At 46.0% G+C, this 23,946-nt stretch overlaps 1 protein-coding gene and 1 long non-coding RNA gene across 10 annotated transcripts in view, besides 8 other annotated features; one reads left to right on the top strand and one right to left on the bottom strand.

Annotated features, from left to right (window-relative positions):
• Nucleotides 1–6,944, bottom strand: part of SNX30 (sorting nexin family member 30) — a 136,047-nt gene extending 129,103 nt beyond the window's left edge. For 7 of the 8 annotated variants that reach the window (XR_007061301.1, XR_007061302.1, XR_007061303.1 and 4 more), the window contains exon 1: nucleotides 5,510–5,907. Coding sequence is in view for 2 of the 8 variants with exons in the window: in XM_047423393.1 (XP_047279349.1) it covers nucleotides 5,510–5,665 (156 nt within the window). In the remaining 6 variants the exon portion in view is untranslated. Of the gene's footprint in view, nucleotides 1–5,509; nucleotides 5,908–6,879 lie in introns of those variants that run through there. The other variant, XR_007061307.1, reaches the window with a different exon arrangement.
• Nucleotides 145–824: an enhancer, noted in NCBI's record as "H3K27ac-H3K4me1 hESC enhancer chr9:115518123-115518802 (GRCh37/hg19 assembly coordinates)". NCBI's record gives its function as "activates a minimal SCP1, AML or CMV promoter by ChIP-STARR-seq in naive H9 embryonic stem cells {active_cell/tissue: H9 hESC(naive)}" and the evidence as "EXISTENCE:reporter gene assay evidence [ECO:0000049][PMID:30033119]".
• Nucleotides 860–1,473: an enhancer, noted in NCBI's record as "H3K27ac hESC enhancer chr9:115517474-115518087 (GRCh37/hg19 assembly coordinates)". NCBI's record gives its function as "activates a minimal SCP1, AML or CMV promoter by ChIP-STARR-seq in naive H9 embryonic stem cells {active_cell/tissue: H9 hESC(naive)}" and the evidence as "EXISTENCE:reporter gene assay evidence [ECO:0000049][PMID:30033119]".
• Nucleotides 1,474–2,088: an enhancer, noted in NCBI's record as "NANOG-H3K27ac hESC enhancer chr9:115516859-115517473 (GRCh37/hg19 assembly coordinates)". NCBI's record gives its function as "activates a minimal SCP1, AML or CMV promoter by ChIP-STARR-seq in naive and primed H9 embryonic stem cells {active_cell/tissue: H9 hESC(naive and primed)}" and the evidence as "EXISTENCE:reporter gene assay evidence [ECO:0000049][PMID:30033119]".
• Nucleotides 1,926–2,015: an enhancer, noted in NCBI's record as "active region_28829". NCBI's record gives its function as "activates an Ori minimal core promoter by ATAC-STARR-seq in GM12878 lymphoblastoid cells {active_cell/tissue: GM12878}" and the evidence as "EXISTENCE:reporter gene assay evidence [ECO:0000049][PMID:35858748]".
• Nucleotides 4,219–5,138: an enhancer, noted in NCBI's record as "H3K27ac hESC enhancer chr9:115513809-115514728 (GRCh37/hg19 assembly coordinates)". NCBI's record gives its function as "activates a minimal SCP1, AML or CMV promoter by ChIP-STARR-seq in naive H9 embryonic stem cells {active_cell/tissue: H9 hESC(naive)}" and the evidence as "EXISTENCE:reporter gene assay evidence [ECO:0000049][PMID:30033119]".
• Nucleotides 5,139–6,060: an enhancer, noted in NCBI's record as "H3K27ac hESC enhancer chr9:115512887-115513808 (GRCh37/hg19 assembly coordinates)". NCBI's record gives its function as "activates a minimal SCP1, AML or CMV promoter by ChIP-STARR-seq in naive H9 embryonic stem cells {active_cell/tissue: H9 hESC(naive)}" and the evidence as "EXISTENCE:reporter gene assay evidence [ECO:0000049][PMID:30033119]".
• Nucleotides 5,139–6,149: a biological region, named in NCBI's record as "H3K27ac hESC enhancer GRCh37_chr9:115512887-115513808".
• Nucleotides 5,330–6,149: a silencer, noted in NCBI's record as "silent region_20195". NCBI's record gives its function as "represses an Ori minimal core promoter by ATAC-STARR-seq in GM12878 lymphoblastoid cells {active_cell/tissue: GM12878}" and the evidence as "EXISTENCE:reporter gene assay evidence [ECO:0000049][PMID:35858748]".
• SNX30-DT (SNX30 divergent transcript) lies at nucleotides 6,102–7,783 on the top strand. Of its 2 annotated transcripts, NR_186502.1 has the most exons (2): nucleotides 6,102–6,261; nucleotides 7,397–7,783. It is a non-coding gene; the product is annotated as an SNX30 divergent transcript (long non-coding RNA). The 2 variants fall into 2 exon arrangements; NR_186503.1 differs by having other exon boundaries at nucleotides 6,102–7,783.
• The last annotated feature ends 16,163 nt before the right edge of the window (nucleotides 7,784–23,946 follow it).

Raw genomic sequence — 23,946 nt, 5'->3', positions numbered from 1 at the left:
CAATATGGTGAAACCCCGTCTCTACTAAAAATACAAAAATTAGCTGGGCGTGGTGGTGGGCACCTGTAGTCCCAGCTACTCAGGAGGCTGAGGCAGGAAAATCGCTTGAACCCTGGAGGCAGAGGTTACAGTGAGCTGAGATCGCAGTGAGCTGAGATCGTGCCATTGCACCACAGCCTGGGCAACAGGGCAAGACTCCATCCCAAAAAAAAAAAAAAAAAAAAAAAAAAAGGATGATTACAGATAAGGAGGTCAAGAAACTGGTAATTTTGGAGAGTTGGACAGATCAGCCATGTGAATGATTAAAGCCCCGTGGTGAGGACATGATTTCAGAAGACAGTAAGTTGGGGTCTAAAGATTTAATGAATGAGAGTGAGAAGGTGTGAAGTTGGAAAATGACAAAGAAAACAGTATTGGAAGGTCTGTAGTGGATATTTGTTTCCTGCTTGTCTAACATTTCTTGATTTTGCTCTGGCAACCACCTCCTCCCTTCCCAGGCACAGAGGGGGCTTCCAAAATATTTGTAATATTCTGTATCTTAATCTGGGGGTAGGAACATTTTATTAGTCTTTAAACTGTACAGATAACTTTTACTCTTTATATACACACATTGTTATAAACTTCATGTATATATTCCCCAATTTTAAAAAAATTCCTTTCCTCATTCCAAAGATAAGTACCTGATTCAAGTCTGCGCAATCAGAATCAGAGACTGGTTTAGGCGCCTGACCCAATTTAGACCAATGAGACACCAGCCCAGAGCTTTGGCCAGAACTATCAGGAAAGGAGTGCTCTCCTTCTGCTGGAGCTGGGAAGCTTGTTTATAGAACATATCCCTTCACTGGCATGAGAACAAGGCTGACACAGAAGAAAGCAGAGCCAAGAGATGGAAAGTGACAGATCCCCGACATCACTGGAATACCTTGCTCCAGCCATCCCTGAAGCCAAAATACCTGGGCCTTTTCAGCAACGTGAGCCAGTAGATTTTTATTTTCCTCTATCTAGTTTGCATTCAGCTCATGTCTTTTTAACTAATAAAGAATCCTAACTAATTCAGGGGAATGCTCAAGGTAGTCTCAATTGAACAGCCTATGTGATCCTTTTCAATATATAATCAAACTATGCCCCCCTCCTGCTCAAGACCCTGAAATGTCCCCTGCCCATGTTAACTTCCCACCCCATGGCCCTAGCAATAAAGGCCAAAGTCCTCAGGGTGACCGGCCACATTCAATATAATCTGACCCCTCCCTTCTCTGCCCCCAGCCTTTAACTCTCCAATGCTCACTCTACCTGGCCACACTGGCCTCTAGGCTGCTCCCCGACACACCAGCCCTGTGCCTTCCGGCCTCTGCTTCAGGCAGTCCCTCCCCGGACAGTCTTCTTCAGATACTCACCCACTAACTCCCTCACCTCCTTCCAGTCTGCTCAAATATCAAGTACTCAACAAGGCCTGCCAAATCCTCTTCCTCGCGGCCAGTTCTCCTTTTTCCTCCTTCCATGGCATTTATGGTGTAATACAGTACAAACTTGCTGAAATGTATCCAGTGAGGGCAGGGTTTTCAGCTAATTTATTCAAGTTCCTAGAACAGTGCCTGGCTCATAGTAGGCCCTCAAATATGTATCAAATGAACAAAAAGAATGACAGGAGCCTCAAAGGAGCAGAGCCTGGTTTGTAAAAGGTGATGGAGGAAAAGCCTTCTCTATTTTGAAGACTTCAGAGGACGTCTAAGTGACCTAAGGAGGCAGGAAGTAGATGAAGAGTTCAGAGAAGAGATTGAGGATGTGGGAGGAGGTGTTAGCCACACAATGGGGCTTAAGAATCCAGTATTAAGTTTTGGGAGGGGTACAGAAGTTAGAGGCTGAGTCAGAGGAGAAGCAGCCTGGAGCAATTTACAGATGAAAGTTAAAAAAGGAGAGTAAGGCTAAGTGATGTATTTACATTTTAGATGGAGATAGCCATATAAGGTCCAGTGAGGCTCACGCCTGTAATCCCAGAACTTTGGGAGGCAGAGGTGGGCAGATCATCTGAGGTCAGAAGTTCGAGACCAGCCAGGCTAACATGGTAAAACCCCATCACTACTAAAAATAAAAAAATTAGCCAGGTGTGGTGGCAGTCACCTGTAATCTCAGCTACTCAGGAGGCTGAGGCAGGAGAATCACATGAACCCAGGAGGGAAAGGTTGCAGTGAGACTGCACCACTGCACTCTAGCCTAGGCAACAGAGTGAGACTCCATCTCAAAAAAAAAAAAAAAAAAAAAAGGCCCAGTGAGTTTAGCAGGCATCAAAAGAATTAGTCCTGGCAACCTCTGGTAGATAGAAAGGATTCCTCCTTTGGGAGCCTATGAAGGGAGGCATCACACCATGATTTGAACAATTTGAGAAATTGGTGGAGAGTCCATCATATTCAGTCTTTCTCTTCTACCCAAGCACTACAGAGTTCATTCACAAGCGTCAGCTGGACCAAGACACCAGGCTACCCTGTTCATCGCACCATCTTGGGCCCTCAGAAAGCAATTCCCCTTTGCATAATAACCCTGTACTATGACCAGCCTGTCAAACCTTCATTCCCCTGGCCCAGAACTGACGCAGAATCCCTGTCATCCAGGATCACAACCCCAGTATCTAACAAGACAAAACTGGCTTCTTTTCAAAGACAGACCATAGCACTGAACTGTCCTAACACCCCTCTGATGACCCTCATGCTGCTGAGGTAGGAGAAAGCCAGCCACAGGGAAGGCTTCCTTCTTCTGGCTCTGACTCACCTCTGTGGCTTGCTAGCTTCTCTCTACAGAAATTTCTTCAGAGTTATGAGACCATACGTGTATGCCAAGATTCAAGGAAAATGTTACTCCTAGTCAGAGAAAGAAATTACAATGCTTAGCCTCTAAGGAAAAGTGGCTTACTATAAATCAGGCCCTTGAGAATGGTGTCATTTAGATGCTCCCCACAGCTGTTAGGAGATTCATTAAATATTCAATAATTAGGCCAGGCACAGTGGCTCATGTTTGTAATCCCAGCACTTTGGGAGGCCGAGGAGGGCAGATCACTTGAAGCCAGGAGTTCGAGACTAGCCTGGCCAACATGGCGAAACCTCGTCTCTACTAAAAATACACAAATTACCTGGTCAAGGTAGCACACGCCTGTAATCACAGCTATACGGGAGCTGAGACACGAGAATCACTTTGACCAGGGAGGTGGAGGTTGCAGTGAGTCAGGATCAGGCCACTGCGCTCCAGCCTGGGTGACAGAGTAAGTCTCTGCTCAAAAAAATACATATATATTCAATAATTAATAATGCCTTCAAGACTCTCCCTCCTACACAGAACAGACCCTTTAAAGGAAGCCATCGGTAATTAGACTTGAGACTGACTTCTTCACCACTAACCAGATCTTGGTGGTACGGGGAATTTGTCTTCCAAGTGCTTATTAGTAAAATGCTCATACTTCTGAGTCAGGTATCATCCATGAGTGAATCGTTAGGTAAATATTTTAAATGGCTATCTGTAGTAGCCAGTCTCCAAGATGGCCCAATGATCCCCACCTCTTGGTATACACACCCTGATATTCACACCCTCTCCCCACATTGTACCAGTGTCAATCTGTGTGACCAACAGAATACAGCAGAGGCATGTCATTTCCAAGATAAGTTATACAAGACTGGCTAGAGTCTTGAGCTCTCTTGGATCACTTGCTCTGGGGGGAAAAACCAGTTGCCACATCAAACAGCCCTATGGAGAGTAACTAAGACCTGCCAACAGCCATGTGAGTGAGCTTAGAAGTGGATCCTCCCCTAATCCAGCCTTCAGATGACTGCAGCCCAAGCCAACAACTTGACTGCAACCTCAAGAAAGGCCTAATTCAGAACCACTCAGATTGTCCCACAGACACTATTTCCAGGTGATAAGTTTTGGGGTAATTTGCTACACAGCAATAGATAATTAATTCAGTGTCCCACACAGAACTGAGAAGGAAATGAGGTTTAACCCCCAGTTCCTACACTATTTTAAGACCAATTTTTGTCGATAAGAAAGCAAATTTATTCAGTTATTCAACATTTTTTGGAGACAGGGTCTCACTCTCTTGCCCAGGCTGGAGTACAGCGGTGCAATCATAGCTCACTGCAGCCTTGAACTCCCAGGCTCAAGCAATCCTCCCGCCTCAGCCTCCTGAGTAGCCTGGATTACAGGTGCATGCCACCATGCTGTGTGCGTATGTGGAAACGGGGTCTCGATATGTTGCCCAGGCTGGTCTCAAACTTTTGGTTCAGAGCAATCATCCCACTTCAGCCTCCCAAAGTGCTGGTATTACAGGTGTGAGCCACTGCACCTGGCCTCCATTAGCTTTTTTAATTTTCCTGTTCCTAATGCTTTGGAACTTCACTCCCTGCTTTCACAAACCCTCTGCAGAAGGTACATCAAGTCGCACTCTCTAGTGATTTTAAGTGCTCAGTGACCTTCTGACTGCAAGGAGGGCAGGTTATATTTTCTCATACTCCTTTTTCACTGTACCACATGGTGTCCCCTCTAACGGGAGAAGAAAGTTAGGTCCCCTGCTCCCATTAATATTGGGACAAGGGGGAATTCATTTAGTATTTTACTAGGGAGAGAAAATCTTGATCACAAGACCTGAGAACAATTCTAATTTCTGCAGTTAGTGACTAAGTGACGGCAGGAGCGGGGATACAATCACTGCTCAAGTCTCCTTCACAGCTGAAATGGCCATGGGGGTAGGGAGGAGGTCGTCCCTTACCCCTGCCTGGACTCTGCTGTCTCTCCAAGCAGCAGGAGGGTTGTGCTGCTCTAAGAAAATCTGGAGCCTCCCTCCGTACAAAGAAGGTCAAAGGGCGAGCTTTCTTTCCATCAACCACAAAACCAGCCTCTGCCAAACCTAAACAGAGTGGTAGGCCGTCGGAGGTGAATGGAGCCCCAGACAGAAAACCACAACGAGGCTCTCCTCCCGCCGCCGGCTGGGGTCTGAGTCAGGTGACTCCTCAGGACAAACAGCAAACCTAAACAAAGATCACTCCCCACATGACTGACTAGGGGGAAGAAGACTCTCGCTGTAAGCCCAGGGCTGCCCGGTCCCAGCACGGAAAGCCAGGAACTCCTGCTTTCTGTGCAGTCTCGGAAACTGGAGGAGCTACAAGTTATGCAGCAGCTCAGCCTGCAGGGATGCACCTGGAGGAACTCGGAACCCCATCCGAGGACACAGGCGCCCTGCCCTGAACACACGCCTCCCGCTCCAACACGCAGGCTGGACCCCTCCCCACCAGCTGTCACCGGTGCTTGCGACCAGTCACAGGCAGCGAAGCCTGTCCCTCTGCGGCTGCGACCCCGCGGAGGCGGCAGAGGAGACGCTTCGCCGAGGGCTCCGGGGCCAGGACACGCCCGTCCCCCGGGAAGGGGCGGCAGGGTGGGCGCGGCCCCAGGCCCACGAAGGCTCCGGATCCATCATCCCCCCCACGGGGAGCGAAATAAGCCTCCCACTCCCCGGCCCCAGGCGCCCCACCTTGTCACCGAAGCTGCGGGCCATCAGCAGGTCCGGGCTGGGCGTGCTGTCACCACCCACGGCCTCCTCGCTGCTGGAGCCGGCCAGCGGGTGCGGCATGTCGCGCAGGGAGTGGGGCCCCGTGGACGGCAGGGCCTTGGGGGGCCCGCCCGCCATGGCGCGCACCGCTCGGGACGCGCCGCCGCCGCTTCCTCCTGCTGCCCGCCGCGGCGAGCTCCCCGAGCACCCCGGGCCGAGCCCCGCTCGGCCGCCGCTTAACCCGAGGCCTTGCACCGGCCGTGCTGGGGGCCGCCGCCACCCGCCGGCTGGTCTCTGCCGGCGCTCAGACGCTCCGCTCCGCGCCGCGCGCCCCCGCTCCGCGCCCGAGCCCGCCGCGGGTCCGCTGGCAGCACGGCCGCGGCGCCCAGCCCACACAGCCACACCGCCCACCCGCTCCGGCCCCGCCCCCGAGGCGCCGCGGCCGCCCGGGAGGGGGCGGGGAGGGCGGGGAAGGGGCACGTGGGGAAGGAAGGACGGAGGGAGGGAGGGAGGAGGCGCGGCCCCGCCCCCGCCCGGCAGGAAGTGCGCCCTGGGCCTCTGCGGCTGTCCTCCCAGTGTCCAACGTTGCCTCGCGGAGGCCGCCGTGCGGAGCAAATGTCTAACGGAAATCAGAGGTGGAAAAGAGGTTGGAGGAGCCTGTTCCGTTCCACCCGCGTTTACTGATGCGCCCACCAGCAGCCACGCTTGGGGCTGGGGGCTTTGAGGACACGCACGTGAGTCAGGGTCTTCTGGCCTCTAAGGCACGCGCAGGAAGAACCCTAGATAGACGGAATTACGACCCATATCGGAAGAATAGCATAAAGGGCGACAAGGCTCAAATGAGCTAGAGGACATCGGGTGGGGAACCTGGAAGGGACTTCAAAGAGGCGGTGTGGGGAGTCTTCAGGCTCACTCTGAGGTCCCCATTGTGGCTTGCTTCTGCAGCTGAGCTGGATTTGTGTAAAGTCAAACCTCAGAACAGCGAGCATGAGTAGAGAGTCTCAAATGATATGCGACTCTTCAACTCACACTTTGGCCGAAGAGACTTTTGAAAGAACCATGAGGTTCAAGTTATTCTTCATGCATTTGTGCTTCCTTTCCAGGCCTTGGGCTGAGCTGATTCTCAGCTTTATTTGCTGGCGTGGTGCAAATAGTCAAGGTGTTACTTCCAGCCCTTTGGGGTGTAGGTTCACCTCCTTTTTCCACCTTACCTGTCCCTAGATCTTCTGTTTCCAAGGCCAAGTCTTTAAAGGGTTTTCAGTCCCTCTAGCAAAGTAATGGGTAGGGAGGCTCATCGTGAGGGACCACATTTTCCCTACCCATTCCAAACTCAAAGGTTTGCCTAGCCTTACCTGCTAAAAGGTGATGACAGATGTTGACTCTGGGATTCACTAAGGCCTCTACCACAGTTTTCTCTAGAAACAAATAGAAGAGAATGCAGAGGGTTGAAATCTACCCAAAATATCAGTCAGAGACTCTGAGCTTCAAAGACCTTCCCCTATTTCCCCCAATGTAATTTATATAGGGTTGGACCCTTAGTCCTCAAGCTATCATCTTTATCTCCTCCACATAAGCCTGCCTTGGCTGGGAAAAGTAGCATTCAAAGGGCACTGGGAACAATTTTAAATGCTGCATCTAAGGAATGCCAAGTTCTGGTCCTCTTGGAGTTGGATTAAAATTGTTAACACTTTCACATTCAAGGGCTGCTTACAACTACTACAGACCCTATTATCTGTTCTTCTGAATTAGCATGAAAATGAATAGCACAATATAACTAGAAATGAGTATTTCTAGAAATGAGTATATACATCTATAGATGTATAACATCGGTTTTTCTTATTGAATGGTGCTACTTATTTTAACAACCAGGCTGCCTTAAATATAATGGACATCCGTATGGATTAAGACTCTATACAAGCTTTCTCTTTAGTACACCAGGGGAAAGTGAAAAAAGAACCACATTTGAATTCGGCTTTGTCACTACAAGTGGGTGACCATGAGCAAGTTACTAACCTCAGTGAACCTGTTCCTAACCTAAAAAGGAGGAGAATGGAGAGCAGGTAATAATACCTTATGAGATGGTTGTGAGAGTTATATAGCATTCTTTATGTCATAGTCCTAGCAAAGTGCTGGCATAAAATAGGTGCTCCCTAAATGTTAATTACCTACCTTCCTTTCCCTTTCTGTCAGATTTTCTCTACTATTCTTATGAAATAATAAAGAGTTTTTGTAATTAAATATGCTTTACTATTCTGAGTAGGGTCTGGTTGAATATACATATATATACACACACATACACACCAGGTAGGGTGCCTCACACCTGTAATCCCAGCACTTTGGGAGGCCAAGGTGGGAGGATCACTTGAGCCCATAAGTTCAAGACCAGCTTGGGCAACATAGTGAGAGCCCCATCTCTATAAAAAATGTAAAAATTAGTCCGGCATGGTGGCACATACCTGTAGTCCCAGCTACCCAAGAGGCTGAGGTGGAAGGATTGCTTGAGCCTGGGAGGTTGAGGGTGCAATGAGCTGAGATTGCACCACTGTACTTCAGCCTGGGCAACAGAAGGAGACCTTGTCTCAAAATAAAAAAAAATATATATATATATACATATATATGTGTGTGTACATATATATGTGTGTATATGTGTGTGTGTGTGTGTGTGTGTGTATTGACCTCCAAAGTCCTCCATTTGCTCAGTTTAGATTGGAGTACCACTTTTCTATGCTCCCACCAAAAAAAGGACCCAGACCCAGAGTTCCTAAAAGGCCATATGAAATAGTTGATTACAGTTTATTTATTTATTTTCCAGTTTCCTGGTTGGTCGATAGCAGCTGGCCACAATATCCAGTGGGTAGTCATCAAAACTAAAGAAAGTGAATTTGTATGGAAAGTATTTTGGTAGAAAGTTTCCACGATGAAATTTAGCCCAGCCCTGCCCATTCATATTCACCATTTCCTGTGGTATTTCAGTGTTCCTTGTGGTGGGAAATTGTCACTGAAATAATATAAGTGTCCCAGAGCATGTGACTTTGCTTCTACTAAAAGGTTTTGTTTTTTTTTTTTTTTTTTCTTGGAGACAGGGCCTTGCTCTGTCGCCCAGGCTGGAGTGCAGTGGCGCAATCTCAGCTCACTGCAACCTCCGCCTCCCAGGTTCAAGCGATTCTCCTGCCTCAGCCTCCACAGTAGCTGGGATTACAGGTGTGTGCCACCATGCCCGGCTAATTTTTGTATTTTTAGTAGAGACAGGGTTTCACCATGTTGTCCAGGCTGGTCTCAAACTCATGACCTCAAGTGATCTGCCTGCCTTGGCCTCCCAAAGTGCTGGGATTACAGGCTACTAAAAGTTTTAAAAGCAGCATGGTGGTAAGGAGGAAACGTGTAACGTTTCTCCATCAGAGCAGAAGGCTGTGGTGTTTGTTGGAACTTATGGAGGGAAGCTTGGATTTCTAGGGTTGAGCTCTGAGGAAGATAGTAGATGTATGTGTGTGCATGAGGGGCGAGGGAGGTCCCCAATGCCACCAGAACCCAAGAACACAGCATGGAGCCCTCCCAATTCATAAGGAATCTTAGACACTTAGGCTGGCACCTTTCAGGAGACAGGGCTTTGGGCCCCAGAATTTAGTACGCTTACCAAACAAATCCTATCGACCTCACTAGCAAGCGTATTGGGGCTGCCTGTGAGCACCCAGACCTCAGAAACAAAGCAGTCTCAATGCATCATTCGCTCATTCTTTCCCCTGGTACAGCATGTGCTTAGGCCTTCTTCATGTTTGTGTTAGCCGCTTATCCTCTGGTGGTTTTTAGTACAATCATAGCTTTATTCTATATGGCATCCCAAGCCCTGCCTCAGAATAACACCACCACTTCTGAAGTGGACGGCTGGTGAGGACAAAGGACGTTTTCAGAGAGCATTCAGGATGACATGTCGCAAGCCACAGAGGGCTGTATCAAACAAGGGGGGCAAGTGAGAAGGCACAATCCCCAACAGAGACAAAATTGTGTGGACAATTTAATTCAGCCAATGATGTCCCAGGAAAGAAACAAGGTCCACTTGAGTCCAGGATCTGAACAGTTTTGCTAACAAGAAATTGGAACTTGCTACTGAACCAGCAGAGGGGCTTGTGGGTGAATGATAGCATCATTTTATCTCTCCATATAGAAGAGCTCCTGGCTTGCAAAGCATGGAGACCCTGATGCAGTGAGTTATACAGTACAGTCATGGAGTTAGTGTTCCAAATCTCAAACTTTGGGTGCCTAACAATCAATTGTGAGCTTGTAAAAATGCAAACTTCTGGGCCCCACATCAAGAGATTCTGCTTCTGGAGTGAGGCCTGGAATAATTTTTAATTTAAATTAATTTTTAATTTAAAAAGTGTTAATCTCCTAGGTGATGCTTACGCTGATGCTGGTCTATAGACTATATTTTGAGAAACACTGTTCTCTTAGCTCCTTCCATTTCTCTTGCTCGCTCTCTCTCTTTTAACCTAGCATCAATCCATCAAGATCCTTCCATTTTTCTTTTCGTTGTTTTTTTTTTTTTTTTTTGAGACAGAGTCTCACTGTGTCACCCAGGTCGGAGTGCAGTGGTGCAATCTCGGCTCACTGCAACCTCCACCTCCTAGGTTCAAGCAATTCACCTGCCTCAGCTTCCGGAGTAGCTGGGATTACAGGCGCACACCAGCATGCCCAGCTAATTTTTGTGTTTTTAGTAGAGATGGTGTTTCGCCATGTTGGCCAGGCTGGTCTAAACTCCTGACCTCAGGTGATCCGCCTACTTTGGCCTCCCAAAGTGCCGGGATTACAGGTGTGAACCACCGTGCCAGCCTTTCTCTCTCTCTTTTAACCTAGCATGAATCCATCCAAATCCTTCCATTTTTCTTTTCTTTTTTTTTTCTTTTTTTTTGAGACAGAGTCTCGCCCTGTCGCCCAGGCTGGAGTGCAGTGGTGCAATCTCAGCTCACTGTCGCCACTGCCTCCTGGGTTCAAGCGATTCTCCTGCCTCAGCCTCCCGAGTAGCTGGGATTATAGGCGCGCACCACCACGCCCAGCTAATTTTTGTATATTTAGTAAAGACAGGGTTTCACCATGTTGGCCAGGCTTGTCTTGAACTCCTGACCTCAAGTGATCTGCCCACTTTGGCCTCCCAAAGTGCTGGGATTACAGGCGTGAGCCACCACTCCCAGCCAAGATCCTTCCATTTTTCTAAACTATAAATTGACATTCCAAACCTTTAAGTGCTTACTTTAAATAAATATCCTGTTTGAAAACTTGCTTAGAAAGCAATTTTCTATTAGAAAATTACATTACAAGGTCCTTTTGCTCCTAAACTTTTATGATTATTTTAGTGAGCATCTACCAGGCGCTTAAAATATAAGGGAAGATTGAGGTGATGGATATCCCATTTACCCTGATGTGTTATTATGCATTGTATACCTGTATCAAAGTATTTCATGTACCCCATAAATATATATGCCTACTATGTGCCCACAAAAAATATTAAATTAAAAAAAAATTTTAAGAAAAGAGCTCAGATGAACTAACCTATTTGTTGATAATTTTTTTTTATTGTTGTTATTGTTGTTGTTTTTAAACGGAGTCTCGCTCTGTCACCCAGGCTGGAGTGCAGTGGCGCGATCTCAGCTCACTGCAAGCTCCACCTCTTGGGTTCATGCCATTCTCCTGCCTCAGCCTCCTGAGTAGCTGAGACTACAGGCACCCACCACCGCACCCGGCTAATTTTGTTTTTGTATTTTTAGTAGAGACGGGGTTTCACCGTGTTAGCCAGGATGGTCTTGATCTCCTGACCTCGTGATCCACCTGCCTCGACCTCCCAAAGTGCTGGGATTACAGGCGTGAGCCACCGTGCCCGGCCAATAGTTTCATTTCATAAGTCTGGTCATGAAGTAGATCACAGAGGAGTGGATACTTTCCAGAGCCCTCAAAACCTTGGCCTACCCTGAAGGCTCCTAGTAGCTGGGCCACATCTGGCTATAGAAACACCTTTCACTGCCATCACTGAAGGATACGTGCTACCTGGCTTTCTTTACAAGCAGGCACAGGTGTATGGAGTTTGGGCATGGATGTGTATTCCTTTGTGAGGGCTACCCATTAGAGAGGTTGGGCTGGAGAAGATATGGAACTGACAAGTACTGGAACCACGGGCACTGAGTCTTATTAACAGTGATTCTTTGGATAGAATGGAAAACCTACTTACTGGCTGTGTGCCTCCATGAGAGTGTTTGATTCCATCACGAGGAGTGATCCTTAAAAGGCATCTGAAGGCTGGGTGCGGTGGCTCATGCCTGTAATCCCAACACTTTGAGAGGCCAAGGCGGGTGGATCACCTGAGGTCAGGAGTTTGAGACTGGCCTGACCAACATAGTGAAACCCCATCACCACTGAAAATACAAAAATTAGCCAGGTGAGGTGGCACATGCCTGTAATCCCAGCTACACGGGAGGCTGAGGCACGAGAATTGCTTGAACCCGGGAGGTGGAGGTTGCAGTGAGCCCAGATTGCGCCATTTCACTCCAGACTGGGAAACAAGGGTGAAACTCCATCTTAAAAAAAAAAAAAAAGGCATCTGGAACATGGACATTCACACATGATATGGCCCAGCAGTTCTACTTTCAGAACACAGTAGAAATGCGTGCATACATTTACCAAAAGATTGATCCAAGAATCTCCTCAGCAGTGCTATTTGTAAGAGCGAAAACTGGAAACCAGTCACATGGCTGTCAACAGTGTAATGCGTGAATAAATGTGATACATTCACACAATGGAATATTGCACAACAGAATGAAGGAACAACATGGTGAATGCATCTCACAAATACAATAGTGAGTGAAACAAGCTAGATATAAAAGAATATCTGCTGTATGACTCCATTTATATAAAGCTAAAAAACAGGCAAAACTAACGTGCAGTGTGAGAAAACAGAATGGTAGTGAGTTCTGGGGTATTTGTTTTTTGATCTGTGGGCTTGTTTGTTTGTTTGTTTGTTTGTTTTTTGTTTTATTTTGTAAAAATTCATCAAGCAGGCCGGGTGCAGTGGCTCATGCCTGTAATCCCAATACTTTTGGAGGCCAAGGTGGGCAGATTGCATGAGCCTAGGAATTCAAGACCAGCCTGGGTAACATAGTGAAACCTTGTTTCTACAAAAACTTAGCTGGGCGTAGTGGTGTGTGCCTGTAGTCTCAGCTACCCAGGAGGCTGAGGTGGGAGGATCATTTGAGCCCAGGAGGCAGAGGTTGCAGTGAGCAGAGATCATGCTACTGCACTCCACCATGGGTGACAGAGTGAGACCCTGTCTCAAAAAAAAAAAAAAAAAAAATTCTTCAAGCAGTATATTTATGGTTTGTGAGCCTTTATGTTCTACTTCAATAGGAAGTTTACATTAAAAAGGGCATCTAGTCTTCCACCCTTGCTTCAAAAGTGAGGAAGCTGAGGCCCAGAGGTAGTAATTTGCATGAGGTCAACCAAGAGTGCTCCTGGCAATGATCCTTTCCACTTTGATGCACATTGATGTACACGTGGATTTGGGGGATGCTAGTTTAATGACAAAGAAAGGAGGAAATAAGCAAAAAGAGAGAGAAGTGTCAGCCACTATCAGTTGCCTACCAGAGAGTCATTTGCTCCTTCTTCATTGTTCATTGCTTGTCTCTTTTCCCTTCCTTTCAAATGCAATCATGTGTGGACCAATGCCTGGAGCTGCTGCAGCCATCTTGTGGCCATGAGTGGAGACATTCCGGTTACCCTGAGGATAGCTGAGTGGATAAATGGAAAGAGCCTGTGTCTTTGGTGGCATCACCGAGCCACTGCATCTAAATCCAGACTTCTTTTGTAGAATATAAACATCCTTATGGTGTCAGGCAGTTTAATTTGAATCCCTGTGACTTGCAGATGAACTCATCCTTATGGATTAAGAAGACAAAGAATACAAGCAAGCAGGAGAAAGTCTAAGAAGAGAGTTCACCTGGTGGGTGGCAACGTTCACAGCAAGAGTACCATCCTTCTGTAACATGCATTCTCAAAAGAGCCAATATCACCTTCAAAAGGACGTAAATTGCTTCTTGGGGTAGGGAGGCCAAAAAAAAATCTTAAATATTATAGTGGTCTGTGGCCCCCACAAAGTTCAGCCCTATTCCTTAGTATTTAATTTTTCTTTTAGGGAGCATTTAAACCTAATTAACTCTTCCCCTTTAGGGGCAGTGATAACAAAAAACAAATTGAGAAACACTGCTTTATAGAGATGGAGGGCAAGCTCTAAAACAGAAAAAGAATAGATTTCCTGGCTTCCTAAGGTAGACCTCTTAATCCTTCCGAAAACCTTGGAATTCCACTGACTTCCAGATCCTTGCCCCAGGTTCTGCCACTGTGGTAGCTCCAGCCATGCCAGCTCTGTGCAACCCTTCCTGTGCTTTGTAACCCAGGCCTGCAGACAAGTCCTCACTACACAGAGGTAGTGAGAGAGTGTATGCAGGAGGCCTTGTCTTTATGCATAACCTGCTAGCAATGTAGCAAGACAGTGCTGGGGGCACAGCAATAAAATTACACTTCGTGCCCAGATTATAGATCCAGGTGAGGTGACTTGCTAGAGAAAGGGCTTCCCCATTCCCCCCAGCTATATAAGGTAATGAATTATGCTAGGGTTTCAGGATTTCCTGATTGGCAGGGTAGGAGGCTTGGTTTTCCCCCTCTGCTCCCACTCAGGGCTTCCTGTGATATGGCAGGCGGAAAACCACCACCATGACCACTCATGAAAATGGGAGACGGGCCGGGCACAGTGGCTCACACCCGTAATCCCAGCACTTTGGGATGCTGAGGCAGGTGGATCACATGAGGCCAGGAGTTCCAGACCAGCTTAGCCAACATGGTGAAACCCTGTCTCTACTAAAAAAAAAAAAATACAAAAATTACTCAGGCATGGTGGTGCACATCTGTAATCCCAGATACTCGGGAGGCTGAGGCACAAGAATCGCTTGAATCCGGGAGGTAGAGGTTGCAGTGGGCCAAGATCGTGCCGCTGCACTCCAGCCTGGGTGACAGAGCGAGACGCTGTCTCAAAAGAAAAAAAAAATGCTACACAGTGTCCACTCCTTCTCCTTCCAGCTGAGACCCAGCTGGGCTTGGGCTAGTTGAAAAAGTAAAGAAGGATGGAAGGAATATCTCCCACCTGCAGCTCTAGGTGGTACAGAAATTAAGGGATTGATTGTGCAGAGCTGAGTAAAGAGAAGACCCGAGACCAGAGAACCAGAGTCAGGGGTCTGAATTAGTCACTAAAACAAGGTGAATGGTGGTGGTGGCAAAAGCAAATGACGAAGGTCAAGAACAGAGCCAGGGTTCAAGACCCAGAAGGAACAGGTCCAGAGAATAAGCCTTCTGGTAATCCTCAGCAGCATCTGGGTGGGCACTGTTGTCATTATGAACCATGGTGCTTGCTGGGGTGGGATGCATGGCGTGGCCAGGACAGCCAGAATGGAAGGCTTCCTTTGGAAGGCTTCGCTGAGCTAGCAGGAAGATTTGGACAGGGGAACTGATTTCTCACAACTCCTTCCTGACCACCCACATAATTGGTTCAAATTAAGCACTAGGCTGTAGAGGTACCAATTCTTTGTTTCCGGAGGCAGGATGCTTTCTTGGCATAGATATACACCCTGAGGAAGGATGTGGCTAGCAATAATTGTCCTCTCCTCTTTTAATTTAAACTTTTAATTTTAGAATAGTTTGGATTTCCAGAAAAGTTGCAAAGATAGTACAGAGTTTTTGCGTACTCCTTACGCCGTGTCTCCGTTGTTAACATCCTGTATCATTCTTGTACATTTGTCACAACTAAGGAGTCAATATTGGCACATTGCTGTTAACTAAACTGTATACTTTATTCTTATTTAACTAGATTTTCCCCAAAGTTATTTTTTTTATCCCGAAATCCCACCCAGGATACCACATTACATTTTGCAGTCATGTCTCATTAGCCTCCTCTGGTCTGTGACAGTTTCTCGGACTTTACTTGCTTATGACAGTCTTGAAAAGTATTCATCAGGTACTTTGTAGATTGCCCCTCAGTTTGGTTTTGTCTGTTGTTGTCCTCATGGATAACGTGGAGTTCAGGGGTTTTTGGGAGGAAGACTATCGAGGTAAGGTGCCTTTTTTTTTTTTTTTTTTTTTTTTGAGATGGAGTTTTGCTCTTGTTGCCCAGGCTGGAGTGCAATGGCACAATCTCGGCTCACTGCAACCTCCACCTCCCGGGCTCAAGCAATTCTCCTGCCTTGGCCTCCAGAGTAGCTGGGATTACAGGCATGCACCACCATGCCTGGCTAATTATTTGTATTTTTAGTAGAGATGGAGTTTCACTATGTTGGCCAGGCTGGTCTCAAACTCCTGACCTCAGGTGCTCCACCTGCCTCGGCCTCCCAAAGTGCTGGGATTCCAGGTGTGAGCCACCACACCCGGCCAGTAAAGTGCCATTCTAATCACATCATATATGTTAATCTGTGTTGCATTGCTGTAAAGGAATACTTGAGACTGGATAATTTATAAAGAAAAGAGGTTTATTTGGCTCACAGTTTGCAGGCTGTACAAGAAGCACAGTGCCAACATCTGCTTCTAGTGAGGCCTCAGGAAGCTTATAAAGTCATGACAGAAGGCAAAGGAGAAGCCAGCCTATTACGTGGCAAGAGAGGAAGCAAGAGAGAGGAGGAGGTCCCAGGCTCATTTAAACAACCAGCTCTCTTGCCAGGTGTGGTGGCTCATGCCTGTAATCCCAATACTTTCGGAGGCCAAGGCAGGCAGATCACCTGAGGCCAGGAGTTGGAGACCAGCCTGGCCAACATGGTGAAACCTCATCTCTACTAAAAATACAAAAATTAGCTGGGCGTGGTGGTGCATGCCTGTAATCCCAGCTACTCAGGAGGCTGAGGCATGAGAATCATTTGAACCCAGGAAGTGGAGGCTGCAGTGAGCTGAGATTGCACCACTGCACTCCTGCCTGGGTGACAGAGTGAGACCCTGTCTCAAAAACAACAACAACAACCACCTGTCTTGTGAACTAACAGAGTGAGAACTCACTCATTACCATGGGGAAAGTACCAAGCCATTCATAAGGGATCCACCCCCATGACCCAAACACCTCCAACAAGGCGCCACCTCCAACACTGGGGATCACATTTCAATATGAGATTGGAGGGGACAAACATCCAAACTAGATCATCATATCAAGGGCACATACTGTCAACATGGCTTATCACTGAGGGTGTTAAACTTAATTGCCTGGTCAAGGTAGTGTTTGCCAGGTTTCTCCACTGTAAAGTTACTCCCCTCCCCGATATGGCATAATGAATTAGACATCAATAAAGCTGTTACAAGAAAAGATGAATGATAATCTGGAGAAAGTTATTTGGAACACAAATGACTCACAAGGTATTAATATCTTTCTTTTTTTTTTTTGAGACGGAGTCTCGCTCTGTCGCCCAGGCTGGAGTGCAGTGGTGCGATCTCGGCTCACTGCAAGCTCCACCTCCCGGGTTCACACCATTCTCCTGCCTCAGCCTCCTGAGTAGCTGGGACTACAGGCACCCGCCATCACGCCCGGCTAATTTTTTTTTTGTATTTTTAGTAGAGACGGGGTTTCACCGTGTTAGCCAGGATGGTCTTGATCTCCTGACCTCGTGATCCGCCCGCCTTGGCCTCCCAAAGTGCTGGGATTACAGGCGTGAGCCACCGCGCCCGGCCCAAAAAATACAAATTATCAAAATATGTATTCAGTCTCACTAGAGATCAATAAAATGTTGATGAAAACAAAAAGATACAATTTTTGCTTGTCCTACCAGCAAATGTTAAAAGACCAATAAAAGGTAAGGAATCATGCTTTATGAGATTTAAACAATTTGGGGGGCCTTCCTCAAGAAAAAGAATTCAAAATTTCAAATATAAAAATTAGTACAAGGCCAGGCACTGTGGCTCATATCTGTAATCCCAGCACTTTCATAGGCCGAGGCAGGAGGATTGCTTGAGCCCAAGAGTTGGAGACCAGCGTGGGCAATATAATGAGACCTTGTCTTTACGAAAAATTTTAAAAATTAGCTGGGCATGGTGATGCACACCTGTAGTTCCATCTACTCAGGAGGCTGAAGTGGGAGGATGACTTGACCCAGGAGTTCAAGGCTACAGTGAGCTATGATCATGCCACTGCACTCCAGCTTGGGAGGCAGAGAGAGACCCTATCTCAAAAAACAAAGAAACAAACAAACAAAAAACCCTGATACAAAGCTGAATATTAATTTGGAAAATAAATCGCCACAATTATAAATTTTACAAAACTGATAAATACCGCAAACATCACAAACGTATTAAAATTATTAGCTGCCTGGCACACCTCTATCATACTATTTTCCATAGTCTTTGAATGCATATTCTTTACTAAATTCTTCATATGACAACTATTTTATAGTATTCCAAAGAGAATAGAAAGATAATGAAGTCTTTCTTCTAGCATGGCTGATTGAAATTTGCTTTGCTTTTTTATTATTAGTAGTTTACAAAACTTTTTTTCAACTTCAAATTTGTTGTTGGTAATGTACGAAAATGCCCCCTGATACCTCAGCAGGCTTACCACCGGACATTCTTGCTATTTATAGTACTGTTACAGATTTTTGGCCTACAAACCCAGGAATTCTTATTCTGTTTCAGGTAAGTTCCACCTAAAAGAAAGAAAGAAAAAAAAAATCTAGGCCCAGGCACAGTGGCTCACGCCTGTAATCCCAGCACTTTGGGAGGCTGAGGCAGGCAGATCACAAGGTCAGGAGATCGAGATCATCCTGGCTAACACGGTGAAACCCCATCCCTACTGAAAATACAAAAAATTAGCCAGGTGTGGTGGCAGGTGCCTGTAGTCCCAGCTACTTGGGAGGCTGAGGCGGGAGAATGGTGTGAACCCGGGAGGCGGAGCCTGCAGTGAGCTGAGATCGCGCCACTGCACTCCAGCCTGTGGGACACAGCGAGACTCTGTCTCAAAAAAAAAAAAAAAATCTATATGGTGAGTGTATGTTGCATTATCAAGGATATTCCTGATAGAAGAGAACTTTTGGTTTTGTTAGTCATCAGTGAGGAGTGATTCATTCATTTACAATTATATAACTTTGACAACGGGAAGAATTTTTTACAGACTAGCTTCTGGCTCTACATTTCAAACTTTGTTCTTCTCTAGTACTCTCATTCATCTGGTGCTGGTGCCTCAAGACACATTCATTTCATGATGTGACCTCTGGCCCTGCATCTTCATAGAAGCATACCAGGATGTCCAGCAGTAATGTATCCATGCACAGAAGTGACGGCGAACCTTGTAAATACATCCTGCTAGACTCAAATAAATGTATCCCAGCTCAACTTTCAACCGGCAGCCACTGCAAGCCATAAAACCCAAGGGCAAGAGTAAGGGAAGGGGAATTTGGACCGGAGAGGTACAGTTGTCTTATCTGGCTGCCATAAAAATAACTTACTTTGTCAAGTTTTGACCCTGTGAGCACATTGCTAAGGCTTGTCCCAGGGCTAGGGGAAAGGGGACTCACATGTTCAAGCAAAAAAAAACGCCCTGAAATGTAAGCTTCAGGTTCAGAAGCAATCAGCCTCCACATCCACTGCTAGTGAGAATACTGAGAAACAGGTACTCTCAAATGGTGTTGGCAAAAACATGAAGTGCTATCAAAATAAAAGCACTAGACTTTGGGAGGCCAAGGTGGGCAGATTGCCTGAGCCCAGGAGTTTAAGACCAGTGTAGGAAACGTGGTGAAACAAAAATTAGCCGGGCATGGTGGCATGTGCCTGTAGTCTCAGCTACCTAGGAGGCTGAAATGGGAGGATCACCTGACCCCGGGAGGTCGAGGCAGCCAGTGAGCCATGATCACAACACTACACTATAGCCTGGGCAACAGAGTAAGACCTTGTCTCAATCAATCAGTCAATCAATAAATAAAAATAAAAGCACTGGCTGGGCACGGTGGCTTACACCTGTAATCCCAGCACTTTAGGAGGCTAAGGCGGGCAGATCATGAGGTCAGGAGTTCAAGACCATCCAGACCAACATGGTGAAACCCTGTCTCTACTAAAAATACAAAAAAATTAGCTGGGTGTGGTGGCACGTACCTATAGTCCCAACTACTTGGGAGGGTGAGGTGGGAGAATCACTTGAACCCGGGAGGTGGAGGTTACAGTGAGCCGAGATCATGCCACTGCACTCCAGCCTGGCGACAGGGAGAGACTCTGTCTCAAAAAAATAAAAAATAAATAATAAAGTACTAATACCTAAGGAAATATGTGCAAAGACATTTTTTGCAGCATTATTCATAGAGGCAACAAAAGTGGAAATAATCTCATATACATCACTAGGGAAAAGGTTGAATAAATTATGATACATCCGGCCGGTCGTGATGGCTCACGCCTGTAATCCCAGCACTTTGGGAGGCTGAGGCAGGCAGATCATGAGGTCAGGAGTTCCAGACCAGCCTGGCCAACGTAGTGAAACCTTGTCTCCACTAAAAACACAAAAATTAGCCGGGCGTAGTGGCATGCACCTGTAGTCCCAGCTACTCAGGAGGCTGAGGCAGGAGAATCGCTTGAACCCGGGAGGGGGAGGTTGCAGTGAGCCGAGATTGCGCCACTGCATTCCAGCCTAGGCGACAGAGCGAGACTCCATCTAAAAAACAAAACAAAACAAAAAAAATTCTGATGCATCCACACTGTATTATGCAGCATTAAAAAAGGATAAATTTGAGCTTTATGTATGGGAAGGTCTGTAATACATTTACAATGGCAAACAGTAAAGTAATATGCATGCTGGGATCACATTTTTGTAAAGAAGAAAACTCCTCCACATATGTGTGTGTGTGTGTAAATATATATAGATATATGAATATATATGTATAGATTTTCTATGAGAACAAAAGAATATGCAGCCAGACTTAAGGTTTTCAACTTGGTGAGGGTCAGGGAGCAGAGATTAGTGGAGGGGACAGACCAGATTAATGTTTGCTTTCTACAACTTTATGTTGTTCACTTTCACAGAGTACAACAGGCATTTATTTATTTTGCAATTTAAACATTAGAATAAAATTTTAAAAAATCAAAACATATGAAACATCTGGGGCCGGACACAATGGCTGACGCCTGTAATCTCAGCACTTTGGGAGGCCGAGGCGGGCAGATCACGAGGTCAGGAGATTGAGACCATCCTGGCTAACACAGTGAAACCCTGTCTCCACTAAAAATACAAAAAATTAGCCAGGTGTGGTGGTGGGCACCTGTAGTCCCAGCTACTCAGGAGGCTGAGGCAGGAGAATTGCTTGAACCTGGGAGGTGGAGGTTGCAGTGAGCCGAGATTGTGCCACTGCACTCCAGCCTGGGGTGACACAGCGAGACTCCATCTCAAAAAAAAAAAAAAAAGAAACGTCTGAGCTAAACATATTTACAGTGCCTCCCACTTCTTTTCCAAGGATTACCAATATTCTTTGTAAAGCCAACCCTATGCTTACCTTTCTCCACTCCTAAAGTAATAGAATTATATGAAGAGCTTTGAGAAATCTCCACTGTACCCCATGGTATAAAAGTTCATGTCCATGGTACTTTTTAAAAGCCTCTATGACATGTATCACTTTCTACTTTAAATTATATCTATCTAATCCCAGCACTTTAGGAGGCCGAGGCAGGCGGATCACCTGAGGTTGGGAGTTCAACACCAGCCTGGCCAACATGGTGAAACACCGTCTCTGCTAAAAATACAAAAATTAGTCGGGTGTGGTGGTGCGAGCCTGTAATCCCAGCTACTCAGGAGGCTGAGGCAAGAGAATCACTTGGACCCAGGAGGCAGAGGTTGCAGTGAGCAGAGATCATGCCACTGCACTCAGCCTGGGGAACAGAGCAAAACTCTGTCTCAAAAAAAAAAAATTATATTTATCTGCTACTCAATAGCAACAAAGACAATTTCCTTGCACAATCTTAGACTTCTGCCTTTCAGCTGTGTCCCACCTCTCTCCTCCACTTTACAGACACACTCCTTCCTGTCCCACCTCATTTTTATCAGATGTATCTTGAAACGTGTTAAAAAGCAAGGTTGCATTAACGTCATACAATTTGAGGTACACTACAGAATCATTTCCAATTTTAGAAAAAAATTCAATTTTACTTCTGATTAGAATTTTTTTTACACTTCAGAGTTCTGTGTCTTTTTGCTATTAAGGATGTAATATGTATATTTATAACTGAAGAGGTATATTCCTTTTTTTTTTTTTTTGAGATGGAGTCTTGCTCTGTTGCCCAGGCTGGAGTGCAATGGCACAATCTTGGCTCACTGCAACTTCTGCCTCCCAGGTTCAAGTGCTTCTCATACTTCAGCCTCCTGAGTAGCTGGGACCACAGGCGTGGGCCACCAGACCCCGCTAATTTTTGTATTTTTAGTAGAAACGGGGTTTTGCCATGTTGGCCAGGCTGGTCTTGAACTCCTCGGCTCAAGTTATCTGCCTGCCTTGGCCTCCCAAAGTGCTGGGATTACAAGCATGAGCCACCATGCCCAGCCTTGAGTTGATATATTCTCAGCATCTTCATTTTGATTATACTCTTAAAAGATTTTCTAATATTCTCAATATAAAATATAACAAATTTTCTGGATGGCCACTATTTAGCTAATGAAATGAATATTAGCTCCTACATTTACATCTGTTTAAGATCAATAAATTAGCAAATATTTCAACTTTAATTTCCTTTTGCTATTGAGAAAAGAACAGTGGCAGGCTTAACATGTGTAAACCTTCGCCCAGTCAGGTTCATCTGAACGTTTTTGGGGCCTGAGGCAAGAATACAGATGAAGGCTCACATTCTATATGTCTAAATATTTAAAAGTTATGAATCCAGGTAACAAATATATATTAAGACTATGGTTTTGGAATGACTGAAAGTTGACTAAATATCAAAGACAACTAACTTTATGACTTTTTATATCTGGGTGTTCTATTGACATTTGATATGAGTAATAAAATAAATATACAAGTAGCTCATAAATTAGTTTATACCATAAAATTTCTTTTTTTGCCTTTATATCAGCAAAAAAATTAATTACATTATTATGAGTGTAAGATTTTTCACATAAATTATGTTCTATGACAATAATACCAATTGGACAAACTTTCTCACATTATTATTGTTCTTAGTTTTCTATTAATTTCTACTTGGAGAAAACATGTTCTCTGGTAAGGAAGCAACAGTTGAAACTGCTAATGAAATTCTTTTTTTTTTTTTTTTTTTTTGAGACGGAGTCTGGCTCTGTCACCCAGGCTGGAGTGCAGTGGTGGGATCTCAGCTCACTGCAACCTCCACCTCCCAGGCTCAGGTGATCCTCCCACCTCAGCCTCCCAAGTAGCTGGGACCACAGGCACATGCCCCAACACTAGGCTAATTTTTTGTATTTTTTGGTAGAGATGGGGTTTTGCCATGTCACCCAAGCTGGTCTCAAACTCCTGAGCTCAAGCGATCCTCCTGCCTTGGCTTCCCAAAGTGCTAAAATTACAAGCCTGAGCCACTGCACCTGGCTGCTAATGAAATTCTTAAAGCAATATTTAGATTCAGAAGTGAATCACAAATTTTACACACTGTATTAAAAAATACACTGTCTTGGTCCGCTCAGGCCGCCATAACAAAAGACCACAGATTTGGTGACTTAAACAACAGAAATTTTTTTCTTACAGTTCTGGAGACTTGGAAGTCAAAGATCAAGGGTCCAGCAAGGCAGGTTTCATTCTACGGCCTGTTCTCTTGGCTGACAGATGACCATCATCTAGCTATGAGCTCATGTGACCTCTTGAGTGTGTTCTAGGAGAGAGAGCCAGCAAGCTCTCTGGTGTCTCTTCTTTTTTTCTTTCTTTCTTGATTTATTTTTTGAGACAGAGTCTCACTCTGTCACCCAGGCTGGAGTGCAGTGGCGTGATCTTGGCTCACTGCAACCTCTGCCTCCCAGGTTCAAGTGATTCTCCTGCCTCAGCCTCCTGAGTAGCTGGGATTATAGTCGCCCACCACCACACCCAGCTAATTTTTGTGTTTTTAGTAGTGACGGGGTTTCACCAGGTTGGCCAGGCTGGTCTCGAACTCCTGACCTTAGCTGATCCACCCACCTCGGCCTCCCAAAGTGCTGGGATTACAGGCATGAGAAGCTACCTTCTCCACTGAGAGCTGCAGAGACAACCTGTCTGCAGAGGGGAGCCACCCTCTCCAGGGCCTCCTCTCTACTGAGAACTGAACACTGGACACATGACCTGCCTACAGAGAGGAGCTGCCCACTCTGGGTCTCCTCCAAGCTGTTGTAACACTAAATAAAGCTCTTTGTCTTGTTCACCTTTCACTTGTCTGTGTACCTTCTTCTACCTGGACACAGGACA

The sequence above is a fragment of the Homo sapiens genome, chromosome 9 (assembly GCF_000001405.40).
Source record: "Homo sapiens chromosome 9, GRCh38.p14 Primary Assembly".
Classification (NCBI taxonomy): Eukaryota; Metazoa; Chordata; class Mammalia; order Primates; family Hominidae; genus Homo; species Homo sapiens.
The sequence above is the reverse complement of the archived record's forward strand: the minus strand, read 5'-3'. Positions and strand labels throughout refer to the sequence as shown.